General features: G+C 39.8%; 1 protein-coding gene across 4 annotated transcripts in view; it reads left to right on the top strand.

Annotated features, from left to right (window-relative positions):
- Positions 1–24,066, top strand: part of ELP1 (elongator acetyltransferase complex subunit 1) — a 66,608-nt gene that overhangs the window by 2,369 nt on the left and 40,173 nt on the right. For 2 of the 4 annotated variants that reach the window (NM_003640.5, XM_047423991.1), the window contains exons 2-13: positions 555–759; positions 1,835–1,987; positions 4,303–4,384; positions 5,153–5,233; positions 8,829–8,914; positions 12,407–12,503; positions 12,855–12,945; positions 14,086–14,209; positions 15,459–15,552; positions 19,262–19,492; positions 20,576–20,746; positions 23,352–23,451. In NM_003640.5, coding sequence (NP_003631.2) covers positions 610–759; positions 1,835–1,987; positions 4,303–4,384; positions 5,153–5,233; positions 8,829–8,914; positions 12,407–12,503; positions 12,855–12,945; positions 14,086–14,209; positions 15,459–15,552; positions 19,262–19,492; positions 20,576–20,746; positions 23,352–23,451 — 1,460 coding nt within the window. In that variant the 5' untranslated portion in view covers positions 555–609. The remainder of the gene's footprint in view (positions 1–554; positions 760–1,834; positions 1,988–4,302; positions 4,385–5,152; positions 5,234–8,828; positions 8,915–12,406; positions 12,504–12,854; positions 12,946–14,085; positions 14,210–15,458; positions 15,553–19,261; positions 19,493–20,575; positions 20,747–23,351; positions 23,452–24,066) is intronic. The other 2 variants (NM_001318360.2, NM_001330749.2) reach the window with 2 other exon arrangements.

Below are 24,066 nucleotides of genomic sequence, written 5' to 3'. Positions count from 1 at the left end.
CTCTTCCCCTTTAGAACAGTAAATGCTTTTCTATCTTTGATTTCAGTTTTTTTATGAATGTATAAAACCAGTTTATAAATGAATAGACCTGGTGAATATTAAAGTCATTTCAGATTCTCTTCAACTGCCAGTATATAAAAATGGATTTTCAAATAGTGCTAATCAGTGGGATACCCTTTTGTTTTTCCTCATGATTTTATAAAGATGTCCTAATATGCAAAAATAAAATGTTTCCCCATTCATTTGTTCTTTCAACTTTCCCAAAGGAATAACTGATATTACATCTTTTTTGAAGAAAACATTCTAAAGTTGAGAATCTTGCCTCTCCTAAAAAGAACATAAAATAGGTTTCAGAATTCCTAATTTGTAGACCATAACTGTATAGAGTGGGTCAGGTTGCTGCTATAATCCATACATGGGTGTGTACTCAGAGAGGTAAGTTTTTTCTTTTCTTGGTTATTCTGATTCTGACTACCACTTCTTCACCCCCTGAATCATTTCATTTAAATAAATATGGTCATTTATCACTATTAAGCTATTTATTTTTCTCTTAGAGATTAATGATTCATCAAGGGATAGTTGTACTTGTCTCGTGGGAATCACTTCATCATGCGAAATCTGAAATTATTTCGGACCCTGGAGTTCAGGGATATTCAAGGTCCAGGGAATCCTCAGTGCTTCTCTCTCCGAACTGAACAGGGGACGGTGCTCATTGGTTCAGAACATGGCCTGATAGAAGTAGACCCTGTCTCAAGAGAAGTAAGTTACTGATGTAGAATGCCAGCATGTGGGTATGACCCTTGATTTCTCTTCTTCCAAATTTCTTTCCCCACATGGTCTTTCTTTATATCTTATTGAATTTATATCCTCCCAAATAAACATCTTTTGCTTCATATATATGCCATGTTAGACATAGCTTAAATCGTAATCCTTCTTTAACTCTGCTGCTATTTTAACCTAAGTCAGTAGAACTCTGACCTTACTTTTTGAGTGTGTGCCGTACTTTTTACCCTCTTTGTCATGCAAATTCTGTTTATAAGAGTGGTTTTTTTTTTTTTTTTTTTTGAGACGGAGTCTCGCTCTGTCACCCAGGCTGGAGTGCAGTGGTGTGATCGTGGCTCACTGCAAGCTCCGCCTCCCCGGGTTCACACCATTCTCCTGCCTCAGCCTCCCGAGAAGCTGGGACTACAGGCGCCCGCCACCGCGCCCGGCTAATTTTTTGTATTTTTAGTAGATGTGCGGTTTCACCGTGTTAGCCAGGATGGTCTTGATCTCCTGACCTCGTGATCCGCCTGCCTCAGCGCCCGGCCAAGAGTGGTTTTTAATTGGGAATGAACACGAAAGTTGCCCATGGAGCTTTCTAAAAGTTTGAGCCCACATCTCATGTCAACTAAATCAGAATCTTTAGTGTTGGCTCCTAACTATATGTACTTTAAAAACCTCTGTGGGTTGGTTTTGATATGGTCCCTTGATTATGTTCTTCTACTAATACATTTTAGGCAGTTACATCCTTTAGTGCCTTTTCCCCATACTATAGAAATCTTAGAAAAGCATAGCTATTAGCATCATATTTTAGTGGACAATTTTAAAGAGACCAGGCTTATTGTTTTTGTTTTTGTGTTTGTTTGGCAAAAAGGTCACATTACCTATTTTTCTTGTTAGAGATGACAGAGTAGTGATATTTCTCAAATGAAAGTTTGGATTTTCATCTAGAAAAAATATTTTTGAAAGCTTTTATGTAATAAAAGAAGCATTAAAAAGTATTTCTGGAAATGTTATCAATTATTCTTGAAAGTAGACTGGGTTAATTTGCTTGTGTTTACTTTGGTGAAAGGTGAAAAATGAAGTTTCTTTGGTGGCAGAAGGCTTTCTCCCAGAGGATGGAAGTGGCCGCATTGTTGGTGTTCAGGACTTGCTGGATCAGGAGTCTGTGTGTGTGGCCACAGCCTCTGGAGACGTCATACTCTGCAGTCTCAGCACACAACAGGTAAGTGGAAGACTCCAGTGAGGGGGGAGTCTCAAGCATCCTCAAATAGGTTACTTGCTATTTGTGGAAGTTTTCAAATCAGTAGCCATAATAGTTACACTTTTGCTAATTAATTTTTGCATTATATATTTCTTTATTTAAAAAATTGTTAACATGGCTTTATCTATATGTTAAGATTCTTCTAAAACTGAGTTTTGTCTGCTGCATCTATTAATCAGAGTGATCAGAATGTTCCAAATGAGAATATATTTTTTTAAAAGTTAAAACTGGCTATTCTTATGTGGTGTAGATCACCTCTTATCAGACCCTCATCTTGAGTTGCAACCTTTGTTTCTCAATTTAGGAAGTCTTTGTTTATCTGACTTAGATTTTCTGTTATGAATGTTGATTGGCTAAATTTAGAGTCCCTGAAGTCTAGGCACTAAAGTAAATACATTGTCATTACCTGCACATGTGATGACTGCCAGTAGAGCTAGACTTCAAGCAATTGCTTCTTTCTCTACTTTAGTGTATAGTTGAGTTTCTGATTTCTATCCTCACCTTCTTAACAGCAAGGGTTTCAAATTACACTTGGCTGATTCTTTAAATCTTCTTCCATTACTTCATTAGTTGTGATCTCCTTAACATTGATTATGTCACAGAAGTTAGAGTATTACTAATAGTAGGATAATGATAGCAGCTTACATTTATTAACTATCATGTGCCTGGCACTTTTTAAAGTGCTTTTCATGCAAATTTATTTAATCTTCACCATGACCTTATGCAGTAGGTTGTTGTTTCCTATTCTTCAGAAGAGGCAGTTAAGGCACAGAGTGCTTAAGTAATTAGACCAGGGTCACACAGTAATCAAATGGGGTTTGACCCTAGCAGTCTAAATCTGGCACCTCTGCTCTTAACCATTCCATTTAGTACAATCATAAACCTTTACTTGCAGTTCATGGTGGGAAATATCAAACTTGTCATATACAGCTTGTTTTTTTTTCGTATTTGAAAGATAGATGCTTTTACTTTCCAAACATTTTGTAGCATTGTTTCCTGGTTACTGAGCTCTTCCAGTCTATTTATCTTCATTTAATGGTGCTGATTCTGCCCTTTAGTGGCTTCTCAATTGTCTGAAAGGTAGAGCCCACTATTGTGCCTTATAAGCCCCTTTCACTATCTGTTCCCCACATTCCTTTTTAGCCTCATCCCCCCATTGTTCCTGTGTGTACGTAAACCTTATGTTTTAGTTGCAGCTGATTTTTAACTGCTCTTTTTTCTGGCTTTGTGCCTCTACACTGTGTTTTCTTCCTGGTCTCTCTTTCCTGTCCTTATTACCACTCTTTGAAACACGTCAGAAAAACTTTTTCTGGACTTTGGGCCACTTGTCATTCCCTGTGCTGAGACGCATTTTGCTTTCCAGAGATCTTGGTCATTGCTGTTATCCTCTGTAGGGTCTTCTTTTATCTCCCTCGTGAGACAGCTCTGGGAAGAAAAAGATATTTATTTCTAATCCCTGTGCCTAATAACAGGTCTATTCTCTTGATATCCATTACTGAAGAAATGTTTGTTGAGTAAGTTCTTGTTTTAATTTTTAAATATAAATTTTTAATTTTTATGAGTACATAGTAGGTACATATATTTATGGGCTACATGAGATGTTCTGATACAGGCATGCAGTGCAAAATAACCACATCATGGAGAATAGGATATCCATCCCATCAAGCGTTTATCCTTTGTGTTACAAACAATCCAATTACAGTCTTTTAGTTATTTTAAAATGTGCAATTACTGTTGACTGTAGTTACCTTGTTGTGCTATCAAATAGCAGGTCTTATTTATTCTATTTTTTTTTGTACCTATTAACCATCCCAACTTCCCTCAGCCCCTCACTACCCTTCCCAGCCTCTGGTAACCATCCTTGTACTCTCTGTGTCCGTGAGTTCAATTGTTTTGATTTTTAGATCGCACAAATAAGTGAGAACATGTGATGTTTGTCTTTTTGTGTCTGGTTTATTTCACTTAATGTAATCATCTCCAGTTCCATCTATGTTGTTGCAGATGACAGGATCTTATTCTTTTTTTATGGCTGAATAGTACTCCATTGTGTATAGTACCACAATTTCTTTATCCAGTCATCCATTGATGGACACTTAGGTTGCTTCCAAATCTTAGCTATTGTGAACAGAGCTGCAACAAACATGAGAGTGCAGATATCTCTTCCATATACTGATGTCTTTTCGTTTTGTTTTTTTAATTGTTTTGATTGAAGTTGCAGTCAGTTTTTACTGAGATGCTAGTGTTTGAATCTCTCTTTTCAATTTTCTCTGTCTCAGCTGGAGTGTGTTGGGAGTGTAGCCAGTGGTATCTCTGTTATGAGTTGGAGTCCTGACCAAGAGCTGGTGCTTCTTGCCACAGGTAAGCTTGTTACTGGTGCCTCACTGGCTTTTTTAAAACATTATTCCAGATGTCTTACAGGCTTCATCAGCTTTAGGCTGCTTGAATTTCAAAAAATTTCTTTGAACCAGTATAATACCAATTATGAACCAGTATAATACCAATTATGTATGTGTGTGTGTATATATATATAAAACGTAGAGTGATTTTTTTTTGGTGACTGAAGTTTTGCCTCTTAGTCTATCATTATAAAAAGTTGTTTCATGTAACTTTTTAAGTCTTTGGGAGTAAGAAACAAAGTCATAAAACTTGGGGAGGCTGCTAAGTCCCCAGTTAGAGTTAAAAATGTCAGCAATATGTATTTTAACTTATTCTAAGAGTTGCTGTATGGACACATTCTAAAAGCCCTTCTTGGGTTCTGTTGCTGTTTTTCCCCTTTAAGTCTCATCATTCCAGATGAGTTTAGTAAACCAGCTCCACTGATGACATTTATATTTAGAGGTATCTTGGGGACAAGGAGTGTTGAAGTTAGTGGAGGAGGGCTTTGTGGACTTTTAAGTTCAACTGTACACACATTAATAGCTGAGCATAAGCACCAGGTGACTTATCTAGGGAAAGCTTTTTGGGGTTTTTTGTCATTGTTGTTTTTTTAAGTCAAAGCATTTTGGATGAATTCTGTCTGCTCTGTTCAGACTAACTCCAGCTCCTTAGCTTACAGTGCCATAGGTACTTAGGAATGGCAAATTTGTTACATGAAAACAAAATCATTTTTGTTTGTGTTTCTCTAAGGTCAACAGACCCTGATTATGATGACAAAAGATTTTGAGCCAATCCTGGAGCAGCAGATCCATCAGGATGATTTTGGTGAAAGTAAGTATAGCTTTGTGCAATATTTTGTGACCTACGTTTCTTCCCATTTTTGACCATTTCCTTGTGCACTAATAGCCATGTCATTAGGCCAAAGAACTGTGAAAGTTAAACCCCCAGCTATTAAATGTCTATTAGCCCAGTTCCTTCAGCCCATCCCAAATCTTAAAAGGCCTACTGATGCCTCTCCAGGTCTGAGGGTTTAAGGTCACTTAGATAGTTATTACCCAAACCCTAGGAAAGTCTTAGGCTGGGCTTTCAGTGAAAGGGACTGTACAAGGTAGTATTTCTGGGATACAGTTTTAGGGAGAAGAAAAGAAGAAAGATGGAATAGAAGGCTGGTTTTTGTTACTACGATTAGATCCAATCTGCATTTCCATGGGAACAATCAGATTATTTTCTTGCTAAAATCTAGCCAAGGTCATCTGGGCATTAAGGCTGTGGGGGTATTGAAGGGCAGTGCAGGAGAAGAGAGACGCTTATTAAGCATAAGCTTTGGCCATCTTGAAGTCACAAAGTAGCTGGCCTGATTGAAGAGGGATGGGGAAGAAGATGTTCCAACTTCTGTTATGGTCTAACTTCCTGCCTTCTTGCTCCATCAACTCTGAGAAATCATTTAGACAACTTCTACCCATTTATTTACAAATAATGTATTTGTTCAGAAATAATTTTGGAGGGCTGGGCACAGTGGCTCATGCCTGTAATCCCAGCACTTTTGGAGGATGAGGCAGGAGGATTGCTTGAGCCCAGGAGTTTGATACTAGCCTAGGCAACGTAGGGAGACCCAGCATCTACAAAGAATTTAAAAATTAGCTGGGCTTGGTGGTATCAGCACAGTAATGACATGATGTGCAGGTACTGGGGTAGCATAAGGGAAGGAAACGAGTAACTAGAGAGGGATGATTTATTTCCCCTAGGAGGCCAACTTGAGCTGAGTCTCAGCTGAATTGGTGTTGGGTAGGTGAGGGATAAGGGTGGGGAGTAGTCAGCTGAATTGGTATTGGGCAGGTGAGGGATAAGGGTTTGGAGTAGTCAGCTGAATTGGTATTGGGTAGGTGAGGGATAAGGGTGGGGAACAGTCCAAGCAAGTGAATGTGTCCATTTCAAGTGTCCATTTCAAGGGAGGGTTATTTCATAGAAACATTGTGGGTTACTCAGGGAACTGTGAGTAATTCAGCATTGCTGAAGTGGCAGAATGTGAGTGTAGAATGAAATAAATGGAACAGATTTGATTGAGTTTGTAGTAGGGAATATGGACATTGAGTTATAGTTGATCAGCCATTACAAGTTTTGATGATAAGAGGTTTAAAGAGATTTATTTAATAGAAAGATGGCTCGTGATGGCATATTTTTGTTGTTTTTGTGTGTGGAGAGGGAAGAGATGAGAGGCAGGGTGATCAGGTAGGAGGTTGCTACAGGAATCCAGATGAAAGATAAGGAAGGTTTGTGTGGGGCTAGAAGCAGGAATCATTCAGGAAAAAACTTGATTCACAATGAGGATGGGAGTACATTTTTTAGAATTAGCTGGGAAACTTTTTTAGAATATATGTGCATGATTCCCCTTCTGCCCTAGGCCAGTTTGAGAAATACCAATTTAGAAAGTGAAATAAATAGGCTTTGCGTATGTAAGGTGAATAAGAAAAAGTTGAGCAGGACTCCAGCCAGAACCTCAGGTGTTGGGAATAAAGATGCCAGTAACAGGGAAGATGGAGAAGTGCTGGTCTGTAAGGGGTGGGTGGTGAGATCTGTTTTGGATTTGTTGAAGGACCATATGTGATTGCCATGTGGAGTATGCAAATATAAGGCTGAAGCTCAGGAGAGGCCAGAGCTATGGACTGAGAGTAGTGGGTATGTAGGAAATTCTGACAGTTTTGGGAACAGATGGACTGTCTCAGGGAGCAGATGCTGTACAGGAAGAGTCTAGAATCCAGGGTGGAACTCTGGGGCATCCAGCTTTGAGGACAGTCAGAGAGAGAGTAACAGCACACAGTATACTTTGGGATGGGAAAGTGCTCTGGGCCTGGTGTTTCCCACTGACTTTTTCACACAAATCCTAATGCAGTAAATCAAAGGAAATGTAGGCCAAGTTAAGATCTTAGGTCTCAGAAATGTGTTTCTCAGTACAAAAAAAAAAAAATCATTCTATGGAGTGATGAATATTTTTCCTCTATCCTGGGGTCAGTAGACTTGTTCTGAAAAGGGCTAGGTCATGAATATGTTCAGCTTTGCAGGCTGTATGATCTGTGTTGCAGCTGCTCAATTCTAATGTTGAGGTGTGAAAGTTATACATGATACATAAGCACATCTATGTTCCAGTAAACGTTTGTTTGTAAAAGCAGATGTAGGCTGTAGTTTTGCAAATCCCTGCTGTAACCGCATCATTTCTTGTCTTCCATTGGAAAAGTTCTCTTTCTTCATTCCTTGGTCCTTAATCTTTCTGTGGAAACTTGCAGATAGAAGCCTGGGGGTTTGCACCAGGATAGTCACTACCATTTGTACGCAGCAGCAATTGAGGTACTGTAGCACTTGGATGTGAGCAGACAGGAAATGGTCATATGGACCCATAATTTATAGGAATTGCAAACAGCCCTGCTTCATCAGAATCAGAATCAATGGCAGGAGGAAAGTATTGGGTCCTGGATTAGGTGATGTTTTCAGGACCATCTTTATTGTGCTTCTTGCAAATGGATCCTACCTCCAGGAACAGAAGGGTTGTGTTGTTTCAGCAACTCTGCCTAATAGTTTATATAAGAGAAGTGTTACGATCTAGAAAGAACCCCAGTCAGCCTGGAAGGCAGAAGACCTGTGTTCTAACTTTTGGCTCCACCATTAGGGAGGGTCTCAATCTCTAAGTCTATGTGAGGAGCTGTTTTGTGACCTGCAGCCCCTCTATCACCAGTGAGAGCTTGCAATCAGAATTTTATTCCCAGTTCTCATCTTGGGGTTTTATGTTCCGGACATATTTTGTAAACTCTTTATGTTTCATTCTTCTTACTTATAAGGTGAGGGTGAGATCGCTGACTTGTGTCATCAAAGAAACTTGGAATATGTAAGATGGCAGTAAAATGCTTTCCAAAATAAGGAAGGGCATTTCAAATTCTTCAAAGTCACTGCTGCATATAATATGAAATGGGTTTTGTTTGTTTGTTTTGAGATGGGGGTCTCGCTGTGTTACCCAGGCTAGAGAGTGCAGTAGTACAATCAGGGCTCACTGCAGCCTTGAACTCCTGGGTTCAAGTGATCCTCCTACTTTAGTCTCTTGAGTAGCTGGGACCACAGGTGTGTGCCATCATGTCCAGCTTATTTTGTATACTTTTTGTAGAGATGGGTGTCTCCCTATGTTGCCCAGGCTGGTCTCGAACTCCTGGACTCAAGTGATCCTCCTGCCTCAGCCTCCCAAAGTGTTGGGACTATAGGCATGAGCCACCATGCCCAGCCTGAAACATAGGTTTCTCAAATATTGACTGCTGGTCAATTTATTGAGAGGCGTTAGAGGACCTGAGTAATTGCCAATGACTAACTTCATGAAGAATAGCAGTGAAACTGTTTTTGTTTCATTTCATGTGGCTTATTAGTTGTCTTGCCAATTGTTCTGTAGGCAAGTTTATCACTGTTGGATGGGGTAGGAAGGAGACACAGTTCCATGGATCAGAAGGCAGACAAGCAGCTTTTCAGATGCAAATGGTAAGTTTGGTTTGATGGATAAAAAGCCTTGACTGGAACAAATGTAAGTTTGCCACCCACCAGGAACTCTTTGGTGTCCACTTAGATGCCAGTAATGAACAGTTCTCTTCTGCTTTAGTAAAACTGCCTAGAACCTTCAGGAAATGAATCCCTCTAGAAAGATCCTTTTTTTCCTTGTTATTGCCAAGTTGCTTTGTGATTTATTTTCATAGTAGCAAATAATTATAACCAATATTCATCACCCAGTTTAAAAAATAAAACATCACAGACAAAGGAAACCCCCTGTGTATCCCGTCCCGATGTCCCTCCCCTTCCTCTCCAGAGAGAGCTGCCATCCTTCATTCACATGCATGTTCTCATACTTTTCCCATATATGTGTATATTAGATATTTTTCTTTTTCTGTTGGATGAAACTCTTTGTTTTCCTTACTTCTGGATTGGAAAATTCTGAAGACCATATAATGATGTCTTGATGACTCAAGGCAGGACTTTTTAATCTTCTAATGTAGGCGGGGCGGCCCCTGAAGGCAGAGGTGTGTGGACACAAGAAGAGTGCAGACTCTTGGGGCACCTGGGGAAGTAGTGTCCGTGTCACATTAAATTCATTTAAACTCTTATATTTTATTTTAATTTATACAATATGAATATTTTTTAAAACTATGAATTGAAAAGTATTACCCTTGAGTAAAATTAATGCCCCAAGAAGATGTGCCATATTTACCCTCTGGCACACTACCAAGTACCCCCAGGGGCATTACAGATCTCTGTTAGAAAAGTACAGATTACATTATCCTCATAACATTTAGAAGCTATGAGACCTTGGCAGGGAAGTTTCCTAATGTTTCTGAGCCTCAGTATTCTCTGTAAAGTGGACAACATAATGTCTCCTTACAAGGGTTGAGATGGGCAGGTAATAGCATATATAAAACAGCTATCATAGCATCAGCACAGTGTAGGCACTCAAATGGTAGTTGCTGCTTTTGTTTTAGTAGACAAATAATTTTTGAAACTTTTTAAAGCGTAGTTTTTATTTCAAAACAACTTTATTGTGAGTAAAATATGCATAGTGGGTCTAATTTAACATTCTGAAAGCTATTGACTTATTAGAACAGTAAAGGATTATTAGAGGGCAGAAACATGGAGTAAGTACTCTGAGACACAACCTTGCTTCTTTGGGGGTGATCCACTACAACTGCCCAGCTTTGGACAAGTGGTTTTCATGTCCCCCTGATTTTTAAGTGATTTTTTTTTTTTTTGGCAGGACTTAAAAGGTATCCTTGACTAAACAGGAACTTGACCAAGTAAATAGTTGGTGCAATTTGAATATTCTTTCTTGCTATAAGCAACAAGTAAATTATGGTACAGCTTTCTAAGACCATATCTTTTCGATTTAAAAATAGCACTTTACTCATACATGTTATGACATGGGTAAACCTCATAAAGATTATGCTAAGTGAAAGAAGCCAGTCATAAAAGATCACATATAATATGATCCCATTTGTATGAAGTGCCCAGAAGGGGCAAATCCACAGAGGCAGAAAGTAGAGTAGTGGTTGGGTAGGGCTGTGGGGTGGGGTGGGGAAGGGGTGACTGCTAATGGATATGGGGTTTCTTTTGGGGATGATGAAAATGCTCAAAATTTAGATTATGGTGATGGCTATTCAACTTTGTAAATATACTTTAAAAACATTGATTCTTACCACTGAGTTTAAACAACCAAAAAAAAATCCCAAGGTGCATTGAATTGTGTACTTCAAATGGGTGAACCTTAATAATATGTAAATTATATCCCAGTAAAGGTGTTAAAAAATAGTACTTTAAAGGAATCTATGGTAGTTTTGAAAATAAGGCAGTTTTCCATACTTTGTTAAACTCTGGAGAAGATGACACTTTACTACTGGTACCTGCTAGAGTAAGACTTATCTAGTATTAACAAAATTAGGGTTTATTAATGGTATAGGATGATCCAGGTAATGGGGGAAAAAAACCGAGCATCCTGTTATCTAATGTACTATCCAGTAAACTACTCTAGCTTTTTTTCATGAACTTTTTCTAAAGGCTTTCTAGGGCCTCGTCTTGGTTTGAAAGTTCACAGCTACCCTTCAGAAAAGAAAACAAAAATCCATGGAGTAGGCAGATACAAGTACTCATGTGAGCATAATTTACTTTGATTTTTTAAGTTGTGTTATTCTAGCCCTCAGCCTGTTCCCTGCCTGGGCTCTCCTAGTGCCCAGTAACACTGATTCAAGAGGTTGCATTTAGCTGGGCACAGTGGCTGATGCCTGCAATCCCAGCACTTTGGGAGGCCAAGTTGGGCAGATCACCTGAGGTCAGGAGTTCAAGACCAGCATGTCCAACATGGTGAAATCCTATCTCTACTAAAAATACAAAAATTAGCCAGGCATGGTGGCAGATGCCTGTAATCTCAGCTACTTGAGAAGCTAAGGTAGTAGAATCACTTGTACCTGGGAGGCAGAGGTTGCGGTGAGCCAAGATTGTGCCACTGCACTCCAGCCTGGGCCATAAAGCAAGACTCCGTCTCAAAAAAAAAAAAAAAAAAATTGGGTGAGAGGGAGGAATTGAGGAGGATACCAAGGGTTGGGCCTGAACAAATGGAAGCATAATTATATGTAGAAATTTCTATGAGCTACTCTTCTAGAATAGATGACTCAATAATACCCTGCTTGCCATCTACGTTTTCTGTCCTTAATTATTTCCAGTTCTATTTCATATAATGCCTATTTCAGGCCTTAACCCTTCAGTAAAGGAGGTTTGGTTTCTATACCCTAGGACAGTTTCATTGAGAATAAATTTTGTTAGGCTACCTATGTATTCCCTACTGTGCAGACTACAGTACAGTACTAGCAGAATTCTTAGGCTGTTACTAGAATATGATGATGAATGCCCGGGTGGTCATCTGTCTCCCACCCGGTAGAGTTGGCTTCAGGATTGAGATACACGTGGCCCTGGAGGAGACGTTTCTTCCCGTCATGCTGCAGAATGAGAACATTTCCATGTTTTCGTCATTGTCTGCTGCTGCCTTTACCACCTCTGTGGCTCCTCCCTATTCACCTTGTTCACATCTTAACTCATCTGTGCCCTGTTGTGAAGCTTACACAATATGTAAACAAAACTCTACCCTGTTGGACAAATGGAACACTTGTTTCCTTGTTGTAGTTACCTGATAGGTTCCTTAGCTCATTATATTCAGGATCTAGATCTGTAGCTCTTTTCCTCTTTTGCTGTTCTCAGAGGCCACTTTTTTTTTTTTTAATGCCGAAAGGAGGATTTTGTTTGTTTTACATTTTTTTCTTCTTTTTGATGATTTCTGCGTTCTAAGAACCAACCCTTGGATGGTTTCTGATTCTAGAGGCAGGCTTTCAAAGTAGCTTAAACCTCTTAAAAAACATCTGTATCTAGTGGTCTGAGGCTTGTTTGATTCTGGGATACTTAAGGTCCCCCAGTAATATTGGTGTTTGTTCCCCTTTTTAGCATGAGTCTGCTTTGCCCTGGGATGACCATAGACCACAAGTTACCTGGCGGGGGGATGGACAGTTTTTTGCTGTGAGTGTTGTTTGCCCAGAAACAGGTATGGAAATATATTGCAGTTAAACAACAATAAAAAATTTTTATCTTATTAAAATTAAGGAAAATTTTCTTTCTTTTGCTTTGAGTAGGGTATTAATTATACATATGAGGCAAGGATGTGCTGCTTTAAATGTGAAATGAGGTTAGAGTTAAGAATTAGAAGAGTCCTTTGAGGCCATTTGGTCCATCCTCCTACCTGGTGGACACAAATTTGTAACAAAATTAATCTAATTGGCTATGTAAAACCATGGCAGTTTTTATTTGTAAGGAAGGTGTTTGAATAGTTCTGAATTGACAACTTTTATCATAATGTTTTAAGTGTGTATGTGTGTTTGACTCCACTCCCGCACAGGGGCTCGGAAGGTCAGAGTGTGGAACCGAGAGTTTGCTTTGCAGTCAACCAGTGAGCCTGTGGCAGGACTGGGACCAGCCCTGGCTTGGAAGTGAGTGGGAGAAGAAACCTTAGAGAAATTCTTGGAACCAGAGTAGAGGTGGTGGTACACATGGATACAGATGATACAGATGTTTGTGTAACACAAAAGGATTTTTACGTTTCTTCATTTGGTTATAAGGCTGTATCTATCTTTGTTTCTTCTTTTTTTTTTTTCTTATTCCCTGAAGTCTGAATTCAACTCGAATAGTAGATTTTACGCTTCTTCACAGATTTCATTGTTCCAAGGCCGCATATATTTTGCATTCCTAACTCTTAAAAGGCTGTGGTTTTAAGGCAGGGTATATATGAAGCCATTGTACAGAGCAGAAAATGGTGTTTAGAAGGGAAGGCCCAGTTTGCAAGGCTCTGTGGGGCAAATGGTGCTTTTGTGGAAATTAGGGAAAGAGCCTCCTTCCTTGGCACAAAATTCCTACAGCAGAGGATCTGCTTGCCAAGGAGCATGCAGGCTGGATTCAGACCCTGCTCTTTCCTTCCATTCTCCTCCTTGGCCCAGTACCCTTGTGCAGGTTACAATTTGCCTGTCATATGTGGCTGCCTGATTTTAGATAGAAGATGTATCTCCTCTGTTTCGGTGATATCTGTTGTATGTAGACCTCTTGTTTCCCACCAGTATCTGAATGGTATTATATGATAGAGCAGAAGAGAAATGTATTTGAATTAAAACCCTAGAGACAAATATGAATAAGATGAGGCAATTAAGATGTTTTCAACATTTGGTGAAGTCTTAAAAAAGACCTACTGGAGCATAGAATATTTGCTGAAGTTGTATAATGGAAGGAGAAATAGATTTTGATTTTTAGGACATTATACCTGGAATGGTTTAGATAACTTATTATTTTTAAAGTCATCCAAATGCAATGTAAATATGTAAGGTTTTGTGGGCAAATGGAGCCTCTGTGTAAAACAGGAAAAGGCACTCTTTCCTCTGGGCAAGTACAGTCCCACAGTGGGATGAACCGCTCGCCGAGAGACAAGGGACACATGGGATTTAAAACTTCCTTGGATAAAGATATTCATTAATTCGTTCATTCATTCATTCATGTTTGCTGGAAAAAAAACTCTTCTGGATTTTATCTATTCTTTAGTTAGGTGAGCTTTCGATATTGTAACACTCTGAGTTTGCTTTAAGACCCTCAGGCAGTTTGATTGCATCTACACAAGATAAACCCAACCAGCAGGATATTGTGTTTTTTGAGAAAAATGGACTCCTTCATGGACACTTTACACTTCCCTTCCTTAAAGATGAGGTTAAGGTAAGTGCCTGAGTTTGTTTCACCCTCGAATGTAGAGGACTTTCCATAGCTATAGAGGGAATTTTTTTTTTTTTTTTTTGAGATGGAGTTTCATTCTTGTTGCCCAGGTTGGAGTGCGATAGTGCAATCTCGGTTCACTGCAACCTCCGCCTCCTAGGTTCAAGTGATTCTCCTGCCTCAGCCTCCCGAGTAGCTGGGATTACAGGCTTGCGCCACCACAGCCAGCTAATTTTGTATTTTTAGTAGAGACGGGGTTTCTCCGTGTTGGTCAGGCTGGTCTCAAACCCCTGACCTCAGGTGATCCACCCGCCTCTGCCTCCCAAAGTGCTGGGATTACAGGCGTGAGCCACCACGCCTGGCCTATAGAGGGGATTTATATTTGATATGGATATATAAATAGTAGCTTTAGAGTAAATAGTAATAAAAATGGTGGCTTCCTAGAACTGATTTTTATTTAATAAAATATTGTTTTTCCAGTGATTTTGCAAATAATAGCATTTGTCCCCCACCTTAGATAAAACAGAAGTAGGAAATAAAAATGCTAGTTTTTATTGTTTATTTTGACAAAAGCATAATTTTTCCAGTAATGAAGATGTTTTTCATTTATAACATTTAAATCTTAAGTGGTTTGTATACCATTAAGATTCTTGCTGAAGTGAGAACACATCAAATGGTATCTCTGTGTAAAATTTTAAACATCCTAAGTTGAGAGACGAGTTTAATGAACTCCCATGTAACTATTACTCACTTTCAGTAGATACCAACATTTTGCAAAACTATTTTCATCGGTCCGCAACTCTTTGGCCTATACATATATATACTTACATATATTTTTATTTCCTGGAGTTTTAATTCTAGAAATCATATTTTCAATATTTATTTATAACAGTTAAGGACATTTTTCTTTACATAACCATAATTCTATTATTACATCTTATCTCTGTGTTGTCTAACACCCAGTCCATATTCCAGTTTCTCTGATTGTCTAAAAATGTCACCTTGTATTTGGTTAAGTTTCTTAAGTCTCTTTTAATCTTTAAGCATAATGTATTTCTTTTTTTTAAGTCCTCTACATAATAATGACATATTTTACAGATTTGTTTAATGCCTCTGTAGGTTAGTGATTTACAGCTAGGGATGAGCTCAGGTAGTGGGATTATTTGATTTGAGAGAGGAAATACAGCTATTATAAAGATTTGGAAGTAAATCCATAACTGAAAGCCAATGACAGATCTTTTTTCCCTTCTAGGTAAATGACTTGCTCTGGAATGCAGATTCCTCTGTGCTTGCAGTCTGGCTGGAAGACCTTCAGAGAGAAGAAAGCTCCATTCCGAAAACCTGTGGTAAGACAGCTGTAGTACCCCAGCCTTCTGCCCCATAAAACGTAGTTGAAAGTAGACAGGTATGGGATTTCCTTCATCCCTTCTACTTAGTCCCTTAGTAGAATCAAAGATGCTGAAGTGGGTAGGTGGAAATGGGGGTGGTTAGGTTTTGATTGATTGTGGATTTCAGTCATGTATTGGTTGGGGTTCTCTAGAGAAACAAATAATACATATATATAATTCGTCCCTCAGTATTCTCGGGGGATTAGTTCTAGGATTGCCCATGGACGCCAAAATCCACACATGGTCAAGTCCTGCAGTCAACCCTGCAGAACACTCAGATATGAAAAGTCAGCCTTTTGTATACTTGGGTTTTGCATTCCTCAAGTACCATATTTTTGATGTGCGTTTGGTTGCGGGTATAGAATCCACAATATGAAGGGCCGACTGTATTCATTGAAAAAAATACGAATATAAATGGACCTGTGTAGTTCAAGCCTGTGTTGTTCAAGGGTCAGCTGTACTTACATAGAGAGACGGTGAGAGAGGGAATAGGGTGGGGCGGGAGGGAGAGAGAGTAATAGAGTGTGGATAGATTTACTTTAAAAGATTAGCTAATGTAGGGGATGGCAAGTTTGAAATTTGTGGGGGCAGGTTGGCAGGCTGGAAATTCAGGTAAGAATTGATGTTGCTGTCTTGAGTATGAAATCTGTAGGGCAGGCTGGAAACTTAGGGAGGATTTCTGTTACAGCCTTAAGGCAGAATTTCTTCTTTTCTGCGAAGCCTCAGTTTTTGCTTTTAAGGTCTTCAGCTGAATGAATGGGACCTTCCCACATTATGGGGAATAATCTGCTTTCCTTATAGTCAGCCGATTATAAATATTAATCACATCTACAGAATACCTTCACAGCAACATCTGGAGTTTAGCAGATAGCTGGGTGCCATAGCCTAGCCAACTTGACACAATAAAATTAACTGTTGTAAGTCATCACGTGCTTTCCCTAGTGCATGGTATTACCACAGAAAAAACACTAACCAAAGGAATTCTGTGGACGTGAAAGAAGATTTAGATTAAGCGTAAAAGTAAGAATATTTTTATAGCTTTTAAAATGTATAAGTGTGTGGTTTTAAGTATTAAATAATACTTGAAAATGTTAGAAAATAAGATGAGAAAAAAATCTCATAGTTCTACCACTTCGTAATAATCACTATTCAAATTTTCTTGTCTTCTAGGTTTTTCATGTATATATCTCAGTATAGCTATCATCTTGTTTTTGTTAAAAGTGTAGTAGGTATGGGCCAGGTGCGGTGGCTCATGCACTTTGGGGGCCCAGCACTTTGGGAGGCCGAGGCGGGCGGATCACGAGGTCAGGAGATCGAGACCATCCTGGCTAACACGGTGTAACCCCATCTCTACTAAAAATACAAAAAATTAGCTGGGCGTGGTGGCAGGCGCCTGTAGTCCCAGCTACTCAGGAGGCTGAGGCAGGAGAATGGTGTGAACCTGGAGGAGGCGGAGCTTGCAGTGAATGGAGATCGTGCCACTGCACTCCAGCCTTGGCGACAGAGTGAGACTGTCTCAAAACAAAACAAAAAAAAGTGTAGGTGTGATACATCTGCATCATTTTAAATTGCTGTATAATACTCGTTTATTCTCGTTCATTAAATCTCATGCTGTTAGACATTTACAGTTTTGTCATTTCTCATTATTGTAAACAGCAATGCATGGTACATTTTTGTTCATAAATCTTTTTACTTGATTATTTTCTAAGTAGCTTTCAAACTCTTTAATCAGTAGAACCCCCCCCCCCTTTTTTTTTTTTTTTGGAGACGGAGTCTCTCTCTTTCCCCCAGGCTGGAGTGCAGTGGCCCGATCTCGGTCACTGCAAGCTCTGCCTCCCGGGTTCACTCCATTTTCCTGCCTCAGCTTCCCGAGTAGCTGGGTCTACAGGCGCCCGCCACCAAGCCTGGCTAATTTTTTGTATTTTTGGTAGAGGCAGGGTTTCACCGCGTTAGCCAGGATGGTCTCGATCTCCATCTCGTGATCTGCCCGTCTCGGCCTCCCAAAGTGCTGGGATTACAGGCGTGAGCCACCGTGCCCGGCCTCAGTAGAACCCTTTTAACTGCAATGTTAAGAAACTCATTATTCATTCAACACAATAGTTCTTAACCCTGGCCACACCTTTAGAAAAAAAATGATATTCAGGCTTCATCTCAAGAGTTCAGTTCAGTGTGTTGGAATGGAGATTATACGTAAGTATTTAATTAAAAACCAAAAGCCCCCAAGTGATTTTAAACAGCCGCAGTTGAGAACCACCGATTAACCAGTGTGTCAAGGGATGGCACTGTGATATGCTGAGCATAAAAATATTGCACAGGATGAAACCCTGTCTCTACTAAAAATGCAAAAATTAGTCCGGCGTGGTGGTGCGCGCCTGTAGTCCTAGCTACTCGGGAGGCTGAGACAAGGGAATCGCTTGAACTGGGAGGCAGAGGTTGCCGTGAGCCGAGATTGAGCCACTGCACTCCAGCATGGGTGACAGAGTGAGACTCCATCTCAAAAACATGTATATATATATATACACACACACACACATTGCACAAGAACAGCCACAACATCTGTGCTCACAGAACATCAGCATGTGGTCTAACTTCAAAGTGTTGTAATAATGCGGTTTGAGACTAGGTTATGTTTGCTGTGATCACTAAGTTAAGCATTAGTGAGCAAGGAGATTGAGAAAATCCTTAATATAAATAATATTTCTTAATATAACTATAATTCCTAATATAACTAAGGTCTTAATTTATATGTCATCTGTTTAGTAAAGGTTGGTTTTGGCATGATTAAGTCTTGCTTGCTTAATAGATGTTGGAAGGATAATTTCATGCTTATCTTCTTTGGACAGCTGAATCAGGATTAATACCCAGATAGCCTTGAACATAAGTGCTTGCAAAGCACCTGAAAGAAAATAAGCATCTTAAGCCCAATACAACACAATGATGCTAGTCTAGATCTTGGATTAAGTGTTTTAATACTTTTACTCTAATTGCCAAGTTATCTTCTTCCTAAATCTTCATGAGAAAACCCACTAAAAGAATGCTTTTTCCTGGTAGCCTTCCATTGTGATCATAAAGTTTGGAAGTAAAGTTGAAAATAAACATGTGGGCCAGGCACGGTGGCTCAGGCCTGTAATCTCAGCACTTTGGGAGGCCGAGGCAGGCGGATCACAAGGTCAGGAGATCAAGACCATCCTGGCTAACACGGTGAAACCATGTTTCTACTAAAAATACAAAAAAAAAAAATTAGCCGGGTGTGGTGGTGGGCGCCTGTAGTCCTAGCTACTCGAGAGGCTGAGGCAGGAGAATGGCATGAACCCGGGAGATGGAGCTTGCAGTGAGCCGAGATTGCGCCACTGCACTCCAGCCTGGCCGGCAGAGCGAGACTCTGTGTCAATAAAAAAAAAAAAAAAACGAAAATAAACATATGAATAAAAGTTAAAAATAGAAAAAAAACAAGAAAATAAACATATATTTCTGACCTTATTGATTCTTGATATTTTATCTGCATGGAAAGCTATTTTTTGGCAGTTATTATTGTTCTTATTTTAGAGACGAGGCTGAGCAGGAAGGGTCCTTTGAAAAAGAAAAGATTGCCCTTGAACCCCTCTGGCAAGTGGGATGAAGTCTGCTTCCCAGCCTCTAACGGCCTTCTTTTCATTTTCCCTTGCAGTTCAGCTCTGGACTGTTGGAAACTATCACTGGTATCTCAAGCAAAGTTTATCCTTCAGCACCTGTGGGAAGAGCAAGATTGTGTCTCTGATGTGGGACCCTGTGACCCCATACCGGCTGCATGTTCTCTGTCAGGGCTGGCATTACCTCGCCTATGATTGGCACTGGACGACTGACCGGAGCGTGGGAGATAATTCAAGTGACTTGTCCAATGTGGCTGTCATTGATGGAAGTAAGCTCCTGGGAAGTGTGTCCATGAGCCTGCAAGGGGTCCTGAGCCTAGGGCCTGCAGATGTGGTGGTTTGACTGGAACAGTGGGGAATCTTTATTTGTTTTGGCTGTTTGGGTTACTTGTTTTTTTATTGAATGGGATATAAGGTGGGGTATGTTCTCTCCTGAGAACCATTGTCCCCCCTCCCCCACCAGTTTCCTGTTATACTGCATCTGTGGCCTTCACACGTTTACTTGCCTGGCCTTTGAAGACACTGAAAACTTTGACTCTAGGTAGAGAGGATGACAACAGTACAGTCTTGTGGGATTGGGTGTGTTAGCTTTATCTGTTTGCCCTGACACAGATTTATAATTGACCCTTATACCACCCCACTTGTGTTGCTTTGTTTCCTGATACAAATGCTTGCTGATATATACCTCTCCAGTATGTTCAGTTCATGCATAAACGTTTGCCTAATATGAAGATTAGGTTTATATTTTATAATGAGGTAGAAGGTTTTTTTAGGGGGTGGGGTGGGAAGGGCAAGACTGAAGAGTGAAGTAGTCACCTTAATGAATAGTTTCATTGCTGATATGAAAGGGAGCACTGGCTTCTAAGATTGTAATGTGAGGTGGTATATTAATTCATATTCTGTGTAATATTCTACATAATACTGATTTTATAGTCATGTATTCTATATAGAGAACTTAATCAGATCTGCGTTATTACCAAATCCACACATAGGAAAGTGCTTTAAGGATTTTGAAAGTATTAATTCCCTTGGTTTAGTGTGGCTTGGTTGCAGGCCCAGGTTTAAAGCTAGAGGTCTGACCTCTTGGCCTTTTTGCCTTAGTCCCTGGCACCTGAAACTCCAGGTACTGAGATGGACTCCCCTAGGCCTAGAGGTGACAATAGCCAATTATGGACAGAACCCATGACATTTCCCCATCCCACACTGTTTTTAGACTTGTTCCTGAGAAAAACATTGAAAGTTATTTTTTTGTGAATTGCCATTATTGTTTAGATATACTGTGATGTTCAGATGGCTTATCTTACAAATTGAATATCCCTAGGTCTAATCCTCTTCTTTCTTTTTCACTGCAGACAGGGTGTTGGTGACAGTCTTCCGGCAGACTGTGGTTCCGCCTCCCATGTGCACCTACCAACTGCTGTTCCCACACCCTGTGAATCAAGTCACATTCTTAGCACACCCTCAAAAGAGTAATGACCTTGCTGTTCTAGATGCCAGTAACCAGATTTCTGTTTATAAATGTGGTATGTTATAAAACTTTTGCCAAGATGTTCTGAATCAAGTCCCTTCTACTCCTACATAAAAGCAAATTATAGTTTGGTGTTGCCATAGGTCTAGTGTTTCTCAAAATTTTTAAGTCTGCAGTTGATATCATTATCATTATGATATTTAATTGCCTTGGGTTTTTGTTTTTTTTTTTTTTAATCCTATACTGGTTTGTACGAGCCATTCCTTTTCCCTTACTGACTTGAAGAGTCAGTTATTTAAGAATAACATTGGACTCTGGAAATAACATAGTATGTTATACATTGTTAACATGTTTTACTCTTTTCATAGCCTTTACACATATTTTCAGTTGATCTCATCCCTCCTAGGAGCTGTGTCAGAGATGGGGTTTTCCTCTTTTGTAGATGAGGGAACACAGTGTCAGAGGTTTTGTAATTTGTTTGAACAAGAATGGACAAGGACCTCAACACAGGTGTTCTAGCTCCTAATCCACTTGTCCTGCCACAGCCCCATTGCTGTCAGTTCTTCATTACTTTCCTGATGTGCTGGAGAATCTGAAATTTGTTTTTACTTGTGAGTTCTGTGGTTATGTCATAAATTCTGCTGGCATATGGCAGTGTTAGCCTTGTTTTCAAATATCTTTTGAATTCTCAGAAAAAGCCTAGATAGTTGCCAAGAGAGAATAATCAAAATTAATTAATTTAAATGGGAAGTCCTTACTTTCATATCAGCTTTTCTGTTAAGTCAGCAGCCCACTGTGTACATGGATCCTATCTGGATGTATCACCAGTTTCTCTGATTATAGTTTCAGTGTGTAAAATGCTGTTACAGTCCTCCTTAAACTTTTCAAAATAGCTTTAAAAAAAAGTGCAAATATGTTCATTGTCAAGGCAAAAAGAATCAGATGTAAGCTTTTGTGGGACTTAACTGTATGATGCTAATGAGTTTATATGTCACTTTATGATGTATGGTATGTTTTGTTCTGCATTCACTTAAAAAATAGCTTTATATCATTCATCTATTTAAAGTGTACAATTCAATGGTTTATATGTGTGTGTATGAATATATATACATATGTATATGTATATATATGTATATTCACAGAGTTGTACAGCCATCACCACGATCAATTTTAGGACGTTTTTATCTCCTCAGAATGAAACCCTGTACCACCCTGCATTCATTTTACTTGAGAGAAAACTCCCTGTGATGAGATAGGACAGGTTGAGAGCTCCACTTTTGAAAGATTGTTCGGCATCAATATGTGGGGTTGGCCATAGGTCAGGGGCACCTGGAGGCAGAGATTCTAGTTAGGAGAAGCTGTTGTCAAGTGTCCAGGCAGGAGCTAGCAAGAGCTTGAGCCAGAGCAGTGTTCATAGAAATGGAAAGAAGAGAAAGATCATAACAAATCCATGAAGTAAAAACCCTGAGAAGTTAAAGAACCCACTGGGGAGAGTTTGGATATAAGAGAATCTGGAAAAAGAGATCTTGGACTGGAACAGGTCAGGGCTCCGTGCCCAAGTGGAAGGGAAATTAAGAACTTGGAGTCAAGTGGTAGACATTTGAGTGGTGTGGAGACAAGTTCGTTGCCAAAGTTTTCAAAGATGGTGTTTGATGCATCCTGAGTATCACTCCTTTTTCCCCCTCATTGCTTCTTGATTGTTTATTATATGCCAGGCTTTTTTCTAGTACTTGGCTTGTTGTACTAGAAAACTAGTTGTACTTTGTCTACAACTTGTTGTTCTAGGTGTAGACAAAAGATATCAATTAAATATGATCTATCAGATGGCAAGTGCTGTGGAGAAAAATTAAGCAAAATAAGGGGTAGGGAGAGCTTAAGGATAAGGGTTTACAGGGGGAAGGTGTCTTTCCTATTTAGTGTGATCCCAAAGGCCTCTCTGTGAAGGTGACATTGAAGCAGAGACCTGGTGAGAATCACAGTGGGAGCCACGCAGACATCTGGGGTAAGAGCGTCCCAAGCATTCTATGCTTGAAGGCAAAGAAGAAAAAAGAAAGAGCGTTCCAAGCAGAGTAAAAAGCAACCACCGAAGTGCCTGTTGTGTTTAGGAAATAGCCAGGAGGCCAGGGTGGCTGCAGCAGAGCAAAGGAGGGGAAGGTGGTGGGTGAGTTCAGAGTGGTGATGGGAATCTGCTCTTGTAGGGCCTTGCGGCTTTTACTCCGAGTGAGATAGGAGCCACCAGAGGGCTTAGAACAGAGGAGTGCAGTGTTCTGGCTGAATTTTTTAAAGGCTTGCATTGGCTGCTGTGCAGTGAATAAACTGGATGAAGAATAGAAAGAAAATGTCTTTTAAGCAGGTGCTTAGGACTTTGGAGAATTTGAGGATATTGAGAGGTGGTTGAAGACAGTGGAGGAAATTGTCCACAGCACTGGGCTGAGAGGGTAGCCCCTTCACCTGGTCTTGCTGAGATGTGGCCTTTGTCAGGGAAGATTATGACTGATGTGTTCTTAAGAGGAAAGCAGAAATTTTAAGGAGGTTGAGATGTGATTATTTTCTAGATTGCTGTTTGCCTTCTAGAACTCATTAATTGCAGACACCATCCCCTTAGTATTAGGTGAAATCTTATAATTTACGATGATAATATTTGCATTTTTGTTTTCCAGGTGATTGTCCAAGTGCTGACCCTACAGTGAAACTGGGAGCTGTGGGTGGAAGTGGATTTAAAGTTTGCCTTAGAACTCCTCATTTGGAAAAGAGATACAAGTAGGTTCTTAATTATCTTGGGCTTCTGGGAACAGAATCAGCCAGCATGCAGTCCTAAATTCAGCCATCTGATAACAGTTCTATGCCTGTTGCTGAGTGGAACAAGAAATAAAGACAACACCCAGGCCCTGACTTTCGGATCTGATTGGAGAAGCCAGTCATGTAGTTTGTCTGAATGCCATATAATTTGATAGGTAGCAGGAGAGCATGAGTTGTAAGCCAGCCTAGGACCTACTCCCAATAGCGCTTGGTTCTCCAGGAAAAATCATGTGGGAAAGATGGAGATGACAATGATAAGGCGGAGCTGCATTCTCTTACATAAATGGGGATGTATGGGTTGTTAACATGGATGACCTAATGCAGCCTCTGTCTTTGCTCCATCCCAGAATCTAGAACTTCTGGGTGCTGTGCTTTGAGGCTCCTGGGATGGAAATCAGAATGCATTCTTCCATTGAAACAGTATTGTAAACAATTGGATGTTATTGAATACCTCAGGTACACTATAGGCATTTGCAAAATGACCTAGAAACCAAATTATAATGCCACATCTGTGAGAGAACTTTTTTAAAAAGTACCACTTATTGAGTACTTACAGATTAAAAAAACAAAGTGTAG

Source organism: Homo sapiens, chromosome 9 (genome assembly GCF_000001405.40).
Source record: "Homo sapiens chromosome 9, GRCh38.p14 Primary Assembly".
Taxonomy (NCBI): Eukaryota; Metazoa; Chordata; class Mammalia; order Primates; family Hominidae; genus Homo; species Homo sapiens.
This window is presented reverse-complemented; position numbering and strand designations above follow the sequence as displayed.